This window comes from Homo sapiens, chromosome 7 (assembly GCF_000001405.40).
Source record: "Homo sapiens chromosome 7, GRCh38.p14 Primary Assembly".
Lineage (NCBI taxonomy): Eukaryota > Metazoa > Chordata > Mammalia > Primates > Hominidae > Homo > Homo sapiens.
The window spans coordinates 63,887,832-63,899,897 of record NC_000007.14 but is presented as its reverse complement, the minus strand read 5'-3'; the positions used below and the strand labels follow the sequence as shown (position 1 = coordinate 63,899,897).

General features: G+C 43.3%; 1 long non-coding RNA gene and 1 pseudogene across 1 annotated transcript; one reads left to right on the top strand and one right to left on the bottom strand.

Annotated features, from left to right (window-relative positions):
• Positions 1,990-6,649, bottom strand: GABPAP (GABPA pseudogene; annotated as a pseudogene).
• On the top strand, positions 8,548-11,698 carry LOC124901654 (uncharacterized). Its single transcript, XR_007060343.1, has 2 exons — positions 8,548-8,824; positions 11,459-11,698. It is a non-coding gene; the product is annotated as an uncharacterized LOC124901654 (long non-coding RNA).
• The last annotated feature ends 368 nt before the right edge of the window (positions 11,699-12,066 follow it).

Here is a 12,066-nt window from a genome sequence, read left to right as displayed (position 1 = left end):
CACCTGGGTCAGGCCTCGCACAGGGACGCTCCTGCCACTCTAATAAAGAGTAGAAAACGTCACACTGAAAGGCCTGACCCTGCTGCATCCAGTCAGGAAACAGCCACAGGGAAGGGAACCCCTAAGCCACTTTGGGAGCCACATCCACCACTTCTCTGCCCCTGACCCAGGCTGGTTCCTAGCCCTTAGGGTCCTACTGCGGACCTCCCGGCCATAATTAACGCAGGTGCAGGACCAGAGAGCCCCTTGGTCCCTCCCAACACATGAGGGAACTTTGTGTGGTGAGGTCAGGTACAGTGTCTACGTTTCTGCTGTGAATAGGGCTTTCTTGGAAACAATTTTAATTTCCCTTTTTAAATATCCCTTTGGAACCACATTTAATAATTTGCTGGTGGAACTTAACAGTGATAAATCTTTGAATCCATTTTTCTTTTCTTTTTCTGACACGCAGTCTTGCTTTGTAGCCCAGGCTGGAATGCTGTGACTCGATCTGGGCTCACTGCAACCTCCACTTCCCGGGTTCAAGCGATTCTCCTGCCTCAGCCTCCCGAGTAGATGAAATTACAGACAACCGCCACCACGCCCGGCTAATTTTTGCATTTTTTAGTAGAGATTGGGTTTCACCATGTGGGCCAGGCTGGTCTCGAACTCCTGAACTCAAGTGATCTGCCCGCCTTGGCCACCCAAAATGCTGGGATTGCAGGCGTGAGCCACTGCGCCCGGCCTGAATCCATTTTAACACTGAGTTTTTCAGATTAACTCGAAGTACCCCACAACTACACGCTAATGAAACTAGAGGAGGCACAGCCTCAGCTCCGTGCAGGATGGATGCACAAGAGCAGAATCTCCATGGGACGCCTTTCTGGAGCATCAGTATTACTGCAGGATTTGGAAGCAACAAGTTCAAATAATTTTCAACGTTAACACACTGGAAATTTAAGAGAAGTCTGGAAACTCATCTACCTTTAAAAACTGTCAGTCATCTGTGCCTAAGTCAGACTTTCTCCAAGAAAAAAAAAAAAAGAAACTCTAAGGAGACCCTATTTTTTATTCTTCTAAGTAGTTAAAATTAGAAATCACAGCAAGTCAACAGGAAGCTCTCCTCTGCCAGTCTCCTAAATCACAATATGGCCTTGGTAGGGTTTTATTTGTATTTTTTGGAGGGGTTTGTTGACATGTTGGGTATAAAACTTGGGCGGGGGGGGGTGGTTGACCAATTTTTGGAAGTTTTCAGCCATTAGTTGGTGATTAACTTTGTACCTCATTTAATTTTTCTGTTCCCTGTCCAACTTGGACTCAATCACTCTACAGGTCTCTAAGACTTCATTTTCTTAAAGCTTTTTCACTCTTTTATTCAGAATGGACAACTTCTATTGCTCTGTCTTCTGTTTCTAATCTTTGAATAAGCTCAAAAGTATTTTTCAAATTTCCTTATCTTCCTATTATTTCGTAATTTCCATGTCTTTGCTGAGGTTCCACATCTCTTCATTGTTAGAATATTTTCCTTTACCCCCATGAACAGATTTATAATAGCTGCCTTTAAACATCCTGAATTACAACATCTTAAATATCTTAGGATCACTCCTACTGCCTGCTTTTTAAATTGCGTATGGATTCTATTTTTGTGTTTCTTCACACGTATCATGAATTTTAAAGTTGTGTACTAAAACTGTAAAGAATCATTATATAGACTCTCATTTCTGTTGTGTACCTTTAACAGCGGTGTTATTTTTTACAAAAGGTGTTAATTGGGCTGGATTCAAACCTCAATACCTGTCTACCCTGCAGTGGGCACAGCTGAAAACCTCATTCAGTTCTTACTGACACATAGGTCATATCTATATTATGCAGCTGTGTTTCTATAACAATAGGTAATATATTATGCAGGTGTCATCATTATAATCTGTGTTAATTCAACAAGCTAATCCGGTATTACTGAAAGCCAGGACCTCAGTTTTTTTTTGTTTTTTGTTTTCTGTTTTTTGTTTTTACTGTATAATAGTTTTATTTTTCTCATTTTACTATTTTTACATTTTATGCACAAATATTTTTTATCTGCGTAAAAATAGAAAATAACTTTTATGTAAAATTACAAAAAAAATTAAAACCACAAAGAAATACATAATTGTTATTATGACAGTATAAGTGTCATTGTCGTTATTTAAAGAGTAAAAATGTATGCAAAAGTCCTCCTCCCAATTACAAAAGATTAAGAATTTTGTTTTTCCTGGCAGCAAGTGAAATATTGAAGTATCAATATTTTTACACCCTTTAGATCTGAAGACATTAAGTTAGTCACAGATTTGTTTTGCAATTATGAATTTTAAAACATTTTTGTGCTATTTCAAGGATACACTGGTTCTTTCTTAAAGGCAGTAGCATAAAATGAATATGGAAAACAGCAGACCTCACAAAAATATTTGGTGGTACAGTTCTTTTTGTATCATACTTGAGTATCACCATTAATCAGGGGAGAAAACAACTAAACAGTTTTTCCTAATTAAATGACATAGACTGATACAAAAATAAATGTGATCAGTCAATTTACCTGAAGATCAACCACACATAGCAATTCTGCCTAATTTGTTTTTCTGATGCCAACACAAATATTTAGACTTTAGGCTAGCGAGATATGTATGAAAGTTGGCTCAATAAAAACTTCACATGGAAAACAAATTTTAAAACAAAAATGAACATTTCTTTTACTTAAATTCTTGTACTTCTAAGGTACAAATGATGACCAATAATTTTATCTTTCTTCCTTTGAATATACTGTAAATTCTATGAAAAATTCATTTATAAAAACAAAGCAAAGAATGAATAGAATAAATTTTATTTTCTTTCACAATGTTATATTTTAATAGAAGAAAAAAACTACCTGGCTTTCTGATAACTGTAACCTAAGTAAAACAAATATTTTACATATAATTTGAGGCAAAGTAATGAGTTTCTTGAATCAACTGGAGAAATTAGTCATATTACTTTACCTATGTCATGCATAAATGATGGCAAGAAGAAAAAAAAAGCATCTGATCATGTAGGAGAACTGTCTCTGTTCAAATTATGAGAAATAAAATGAAAATTGCTAAAGGGAGAAAATGAATAAAATATGATTTTAAAAAAACCATATGGGAATTGCATAGATGAGAAAAAAGTTTTCATTCTAGGAATCTAAAAGTAATGTTTCTAGCTTTAAAAACATACACACACATATATAATTGAGACATGTCTATCATCTTGGCTAAAATTTTAATATATGTCTCCCCAAAAGCATTTTAAATATGAAAGCCAAGATTCTTAAGCTCTTGATGATACACCAGAAGGGTATACTTTATTATTTTTTTAAAACTACAAGCAACTTGTCAACTCCCTAGGCCGTAAGAGGATGGTGCAAAACCTTTCTTGCTGTCTATTTGTTACCTGACGCTAGAGCTTCTGTTTATTATTTCATATTGTTATTTTACTCAGATATTCTTACAACCACAGTGCCCAAATTGTACTAATAATCTGTCCATATATTCTCTTTCAAAAAAGTAAAAATGGAAATACAAATCTTACTCTGCCCAGATATCAACTGCAGAAAGAGCTTAATATAATAATATAAATGAATTGAGAACATGTTGTAGTAAAATTATGCGTTAAGATTACCAGAGAAAGAGATCAAAGATTCCTCCTCTCTCTCTTCTCTTCCTTGTCCTTAAGATACCTGCCTCTTAGGATTCATTCCAAACCACTACCAGAATTGCTAACAATGCCATCTTGCCTGTATTATCATGTCTTTTTCTCCTAGTTAAGTCAAAAGCATTAACTGAGCTCTTAAGAAGCTTTTTAAGGGGACATATTTAAAGAAAACAATGAAGGAAAAGGTGCATAAATATTTGAGAATCAACTTTCTCAAATCTGTAAGAGGATTAATAGCTATCTGCCAGTCTCATGTAATAATTCGTGCTTAATACCTTAAAACAAACAACAAAAAGAGAAAAGAAAGAAAAAGACATTTCTAGCCATTTTTGTTTAGTGTTCGCTTATGTAAGGAATGTCATATATGCAGGAATTACTTAATTTGAATCTTAAAATGAGTTGTTTAATAATTTTTCTTCTGTATATCTTCATGCCTTCATATATGTTTATAAAATGATCAACTGAATATGTATATAGATATATGAATACACATATATAATATGGAAAAGGAAAAAAAATAAGTGGAAAAGTATTGTCTTAAAGAGAAGACTGCCTATAACAGAGGTCGAATTTTCCTTTTAAAACTATTTGCAAGTAATTTACTAATGCCTTGAAAGGTAAAGTACTGCTGACTGATTTAAAGTCTTCATTTTATCAGAAACAAAGGAATATAAGCTGCTTTGCATAATAAACTGGCACTACAGGGTAATTTTTTTAAAAAGGAAGCCATAACAAACCAAACCAAACCTTTATTTTTGGGTTGAGGTATACCTTTTCAGTTTTTTAAATCTCTGACAGGAAAAACAGAGATCATTTTATAATTTTTGTAACAGCTGGTTTATTAGAATTAAATGCCTCTCTCAAAATAATTTAAATTCTTGGTCTGACATGAATAATCTATACAGAAAATCCTTAAAATTGGCTTGAGTTAATAAGCCAGATTTAAACCTGGATCTCCTCCTTCAGCACTGCTCTTTTGCCAGCCAACTTCTTACTGTCCTTTGCTTGCAAATATATAAATAACCTGATACTCTTAGTTTAGTAATTTATTATTATAAATTTATTTGGTATGAACATTTTAGCTCTGCTTGATTAGATGAAACAGGCACACATGCTTTATCTGAGAAATTCCATTTTCTGGTTCTATGTAAAGCAACATCTAAAGCAGCAGAGAGGGGAAACAGTTATATTTTCAAATATAGTTAAGCCAGACTGTTTCCTAGAGATACTTCATTTATTTTTTATTTTCAGATACTACTGGCTATTTTTGGTAGGGCTACACATTAATACTGACCAGTTTAGCTTTCCTGACTGTTGACAAACTATTCCACAATGAACCTGCCTTCACACCGCAGACATTGTGGAGATCCTTTAACACACACATATTCTAAAATATATGCTCAAAATAAAAAGATCCAAATTCACAAGAGTATGAAATATTTATAAAAAAATCATGCATCAGACTGTACAGCCTAGAAATAAAAGAAGATTCAAATTCAGTAATAAAGGTAAGAGCTATACTTGCTCTAAACATTTTAAGAAAGACTTTGGAGTCCCCGAATGTCCTGGGGCTCAATTATCCTTTTCCGTTTGCAGAGAAGCAGTAGCCAGAGCTACTGCTGTGACTGGCTGGGCAATTCCATGGAGCTGCATCTTTGCAAGTTTCTTCTGTTCACATTCTGTGACCAAACGGTTCAACTCCGCTGCACTGTATCCAGTAAGAGTCTTCAAGTCACAGACAAACTTGTACACAAATCTCTTGCCTTGAACTTTACAAATCATGTCCCCATCATAATAATATCTTAATGCACGACTGAGTTTCTCATAGTTCATCGTAGGCTTATTTTTACGCTGTCCCCATTTTTGTGCAACCAGTTCAGGCTGATTTAGCTTAAATTCACCTTTATCACCAACCCAAGAAATACAGTCTCGAGCGTCCTTATCAGTAAGAAGTTCTAGCAAAAACTGTCATAGTTGGATTTGGCCATTGTTTCCTGTTCTGTTCCCAGGTGAGCTTCTATCTTCTGAAATCCTCGGCGCTCTTTGTACTTTGGCTGCCTTCACACTACTATTTATAACTTTAATGGTAGTAGGTGTAGCAGATTGCACTGATGCTGGAATAATTTGCACAGGTTGATCAATTGTAACTATTTCATTCATCTGTTGTTCTTGACTTGCCAATACATATTTTCGGAGAAGTTCCAGATGACTCCAGAGAATTTCTCCCTGAGGAACCCGCTGAAAAAAATCTTCTTGGTTGAGACTACATAATTCTCTCCCCGAAATGTTGAGTGTGGTGAGGTCTATATCGGTCATGCTGAATTCCTTCATTACCCAAACCACCCAATGCAGGACTTGGTCTGTGGACCACTGTATGGGATCATAGGGTATCCCAAGGCGTTCTTGTTCTTTCCTATAGCCTTCCAGTGCAGCAGCCCATCTTGTCACTTGTTCTGAAGTTTCATCTGAAATGGTTGTGATGTGTTTTGTGCCATCAAGAGTTATCACTTGAGCTTCTTCAACAAGATGTGCTTCTGATTCAGCATGGTGGGCATCTGGATCAATAACAACCTCAACAGTGTCCGCAGGTTTAACAATTTCAAGGATGTTTAACTTTGGTTCAATTCCTTGATAAGAAATTACCTGTACACTAAGCTGTACAGTTCCATCTGTTTTTACTCCTTGGTCAAATAAACTTCGTTCTGGATCCAGGTGGATATCTTGCAGACAAATTTCATGAGCATCCAAAGAACACTGTAGTCTTGGTTCTAGCAGTTTCTTTAAATTGCCTATTGGTTCATTGATGTCTATGGCCTGGCTTACACATTCAGCTGGCGCGTAGGTTTGTTCTACAATGCTTTCTTCTGTGCACTCTGCTTTCTCTGTTCCATCAATCTCAATTTCTATCAGCTCCTCTGCTTCTCTTTTAGTCGTGGCTGGAGTATTTCAAAGGCTCAGTCCCACTCCAGAATCGGCCCTGTCGCCTCCGCCCGCACTCCAGAGCCGGCTGAGAACCGCAGCGGCGCGGGATCCACGTGCAGCGTCTCTCCAGGTAAGACCTGCAGCTCCCGGGACTAAGTGTGAGGCCCCAGGGCCCTTCCCGCGGAATCGGCGCTGAGAAGCCCCAACCCCCCTCCAGCCTCCAGGACCTCAGTTTTGTCTGCTTATTGGATTTTTTTATAAATCAAATTATATAGTATGTATACTTTTTTTTTTTTTGAGACAGAGTCTCGCTCTGTCGCCCAGGCTGGAGTGTAGTGGCGCGATCTCGACTTTTACATCTACTTTCTTTTATACAACATTATGGAGTCTTGCTCCGTTGCTCAGGCTGAATTGCAGTGGTGCAGTTTTGGTTCACTGCAACCTCCACGTCCCGAGTTCAAGCAATTCTCCTGCCTCAGCCTCCCAAGTAGCCGGGATTAGAGGCATGCACCACCATGCCTGGCTAATTTTTGTACTTTTAGTAGATACGGGGCTTCACCATGTTGGCCAGGCTGATCTCAAACTCCTGACCTCAGGTGATCCGCCCACCTCCGCCTCCCAAAGTGCTGGCATTACAGGCGTGAGCCACTGTGCCCGGCCAACATTTTTTTTTTTTTCATTTTAACAATTTTTAAGTGTGCCGGTCAAAGGAATTAAGTACATTCACACTGTTTTACCAGCATCCTCCACATTTATAGGGAGTGTTTTTGCAAAACTCAAACTCTGTACCCATTAAACCCCGCACCTACCTTCCTGTAGCCCTGGGAACCAGTCTTCTACTTTGTATTTCTCTAAGTACCTTGTATGAGTGGAATTATACAGTATAGTGACGAAATCATGAAGAAGTATAATACACACTATATAACATGTTTATTCATTTGAACACAATCACTAACAGAGATCATTAGTACATGGTGATTATAGAGGAAGATAGATTTAAAAAAAAAAGCATTGGATGAACACATTAAATTTATGAAAATGATGCCCAAATACTACAGCAGTGAGTCCCCTGCCCCAGTCACAGGGCTGGTCACGGTGGAACTGGGAGCCCTGTGCAGCTAGCTGTCTGACTCACAGAGCCCATGCTCAGCCCAAACTTCACTGAACCCTGAGGCACTCTGCCCCTGCCACCCAGGCACTCAGTGGACCTGAGATTCTTCATGGCCTGGTCTTCTTGGCCTTGAGAGTGTGGCTGGCCTACTGGGATGGGGCTCAGCAGCAGGACAGGTTGTAGCTGTAGGACAGAGCAGCAGCTGTGAGGATCCAGGAGCCACACCTCAGGCCTCCCTCCCAGTGCCTGCCCAGGGCTCCCATTCAACAGGGCCTGCTGCCGACCAGGGAGCCGTGGCCACAGGCTGTCTGAAACTGACCACAAGACAGCCTCCACTCCCTCTCCTGTCAATCCGCTAAGCTCTCACTTCTCAATCAGACTGTGCCACTCCATGGACTTGAAACAAACCCCATATTCCTCCTGAGTCTGAAGGTAATTCCCCCTTGTCACTGAAGCAGCTGCATTTTTGCAGCGTGGGAGGGTGTGGGGATGTGGGCAAGTCATGGGCCAGGGTCCTTTCTGAGGGTCTTTGGCTGGCTGTCTTCCAGGGAAATGTGATCAACACCCAGAATGGAAAAAAGGGGAGCAGCTGGGGCCTTCACTTTGGGGAGGGTGGGGATGTGGAAGTCAGAGACCCCCACCCACTTACCCTGGGTAGAGCACTCCCTGGCTCCATCCTCTGCATCCTGGATTTATTGGGAGGGTTTGATACACAGAGGAGGAGACCCATCCCAATTGGAGGATGTGGGTAGGGGACAGGAATCATGGACAAATTCCTAGGGGGCCTGTTTATCTGTTTATATCCAACTCTGAGAAAAGGGTGGGACTGCATGGGATTGGAGAAGAGGGGGCCCATTAAGAGAAAAGCCCTAGAGATTGGCCTCAGTTTACTCCCTCCCCAAGGGCCCTTCAGTGTCTTCCACTCAGGCCCTGTCAGCCTCCTGTCCTTCCCTCTGGCTCCAGGAGATCAAAGTACTCCAAAAATGCAGCTGCTTCAGTGACAAGAGGGAATTACCTTCTCCCAAGCCTCAGGATCCTGGTACCCGACTTGCCTGCCCCAGGCTCACTCCCATTCACACAGTCCTTCATGGCAGTGTCCAGCTTCACCAGGTCAGTGAGGAACCTGCCCAGAGGGGGCACATCCCCCTGGGCCATTGGGGTGGTCGTGGTGGTGAGCTCCTATTGCCAGGTGCCCACCCAAGACCTGCCCCCTGAAATCTCACCAACCACTTCTGCCTGGACACCCCCTCCCCAGGTCTCCCACTTGGAACAGCCCAGGACCCTCAGCTGCCTCCTTCAGCCCTCCTCCTCCTCTCCCCATCTCCCCAGCTGGCCTCCAAGGCCACGAGATACCCCCAGTTACTTCTATGATGGGATTTTAACAAGTCATAAGGTCATGGGGTCCCCTGTCCCATCGTTCCCCAAATCTACACTGAGCCAGCTCGCCCAGGCAGTTTCTCTGGTCTCTCTAATGGAGGCATTTCAGGCCCTGTGGCCACAGGAGGGCAGGGCTGGGGGAGGAAGATGCCCTGTTCTCTTAATGTGGAGGCCTCCAGCTGAGGGGGAAGAAGCCTGTCCTCCGACTCCCTGGAGCCCCTCCCACCACAAATCCACTCACCTGCTGCTCCCACAGCCTCATCTGGGCTGTCTGGGGATTCATCTCCAGCATGGCCAATTTGGAGGTCCCCACCTGCCAGGGTCAGCCCCCCTGACCTCAGATCCTGGATAACTGGCCTGAGTCAGCTGTTGCAATGCTCCCACCACCTCCAGTGAGCCCTGGTTCTAGATTCACTCCCAGCTCCAACACTCACTGCCTGTGTCACCTTGGGCAGGCGGCCGGGCCTCCCTGACACTGTTTTCTCAAAAGGGAAGTGTGATGGGAACCACACCATCCTCACAGGGCCTCCCTGACACTGTTTTCTCAAAAGGGAAGTGTGATGGGAACCACACCATCCTCACAGGGCCTCCCTGACACTGTTTTCTCAAAAGGGAAGTGTGATGGGAACCACGCCATCCTCACAGGGCCTCCTGAGGACTCGGTTTCATGTGGCTCTCAGCATTGCTTTCACCATCATCCTTTGTGGGAAAAGCCAGGCACAAGCACCCTCAAATTCCCTTCCTCCCCAAACCCCATCATGACCCTGTCGGGCCTGCACAACCGGCTCATCATTTGCCAGATGAGGAAACAGAGACCCAAAGAAGGCAGCGACGTGCCCAGGGCCTCACAGGAGAGGCTGGCTCCTCCCACACCTGGAGGCCCTGTCCAAGCTGCCTTCACCCCACACCCCAGGACCACCACTGACCAGGGTCCCATCCTCTGGAGTCTATGGGGTGTCCACATTCCCATCCAGGCTCAGCTATGGTGGGAGGGGGACAAGGTGTATCTGGAGGCCTGCTTGAGCAGCACCTGCTTGTCCCAGCCCCACTGGAATCTCTGCTCCACACACCAGGCTTTATGTCAGACCACAGGCATCACTTACCCCATGATCCACCAAGGGAGTTCCCTGCACAGAACCCTATCTTCCTCCACTCAGCGAGTGGTCACCCAAGATGCCATCTCTGACTGACAGGGCAGGGTCTTCCTAAGGCTGGGTGGTGACACGCCGCTTCCTCATTTCCAGAGAAGATTCTGAGATCTGGTCAGGAAAGATCCACAGGGAATGCAAGAGTCTCCAGATACTTATAAACCATCTGGAGCTTTTGGTAGTGCTCACTGGGCACTGGGGTGAGAATCCTGTGACTGACTGATTAGCAGTGTCTGCAAATGACAGAGTGGGGAGCCACAGCAAACACATATATGTTCACCCCCCGTTTACCCATTGAGACCCACCTGGCCTGTGAGATTCCTCTGCTGTCCCCATCCTTGGTGCAGACAGGAAGACTCTCCCTGTAGAGGTGCAGAAAGAAGCGGTAGCAGAGGTCTGGCTTCCTGGGGAATTGCTGGGCTAGTTTGGGGAAGGAAGGAAGCCCCACCTACCACACCCACCCCACAGCCTGGAGGTGGCTCCATGCCAGCAGGATGGACGAGCATGGGAACCAGAGCCCTGCTCCTTCTGCAGCTCATCCTACCTGCCCAACAGCCCAGCTGACATCACCACATCCCATTACTGGAGTCTCCTGCCCCCAAACCCCCACCTGCCCATGGGCAAACACACTTCTTTCCGTTAATACAGGCTAGACAGGGCTGGAGTTTTTCAAGTAAACCTTCAGTGAGAAAGTTGCACACACCACACACACACACACGTGTGCACACCCCTACACCTGGCCCAGTACCCTTTCCAGCCTAATCTTTTTCTCTACCCCCCAAAACACTTGACTCCCATCTCCCGTCTCCACTTTTCCTTGATATGCAAATCCTGCTCAGTGTACTGTCTTTTCTGAAAAGATTTTTAAATTTTCTGGAACTTTTTCTGTGGAGAGGGAAAAGAAGGAAAGATTTGAGAAATAATAAGGTGAAAGAAGAAATTATTTGAGAATAATAAGCAGATGTGTACATTCAATTCCTTTTGAGAACCAAAAGGAAGAAACTGCCTGGATGAGAATTTCTACGCTGGTCCTCTAAACCCTAAGGGCTCCACGGGTCTGGGGAAGGAGCTCTGTGGAGGCTAAAGCAGCTCCATCTTGGATGCGAATCCACCATGTTGACTTTGAATTAACCCCAGTTCTGGGAATGCCCTTAAGATTTCTACTTGATCTACTGTTTCTTGTGTAAGAGCACATACTTACTGCAAATCTTCTCCTTAGGTCAAAGCTACCTAGATGTCATCATACAAATTACAGGCTATGACGTCCACCTCATTCTCTTTCTGGAAGGCTGACCTTAACTGTCCTGCACATTCCTTACACAGCATATTTGCCCTTTTCCTATACTAATAAGCCCTAAATCTTGGGGGTAACAGCCTGGGGAACTACCTGTCTTGCTACCACTCAAGACCATACTTCTGTCCACAAATTCCCCCCAATAAATTATCTTTTACTGACAAACTGGATTTGTCTGTCTCATTCTTTGGTTTCTTGACTCCTTCTGTGTTGGGCATCCCTTCGCAGATACAGCCCTTTCATAAAACAAGGTATATTAGTCCATTCTCACACTGCTATAAAGAAATACCTGGGTGCCTGGCATGGTGGCTCACACCTGTAATCCCAGCACTTTGGGAGGCCGAGGTGGGTGGATCACCTAAGGTCAGGAGTTCAAGACCAGCCTGACCAATATGGTGAAACCCTCTCTCTACAATAAAATACTAAAATTAGCCGGGCATGGTGGTGTGCCAGCTACTCAGGAGGCTGAGACAGGAGAATCGCTTGAACCCAGGAGGCGGAGGTTGCAGTGAGCCAAGATTGCTCCACTGCAC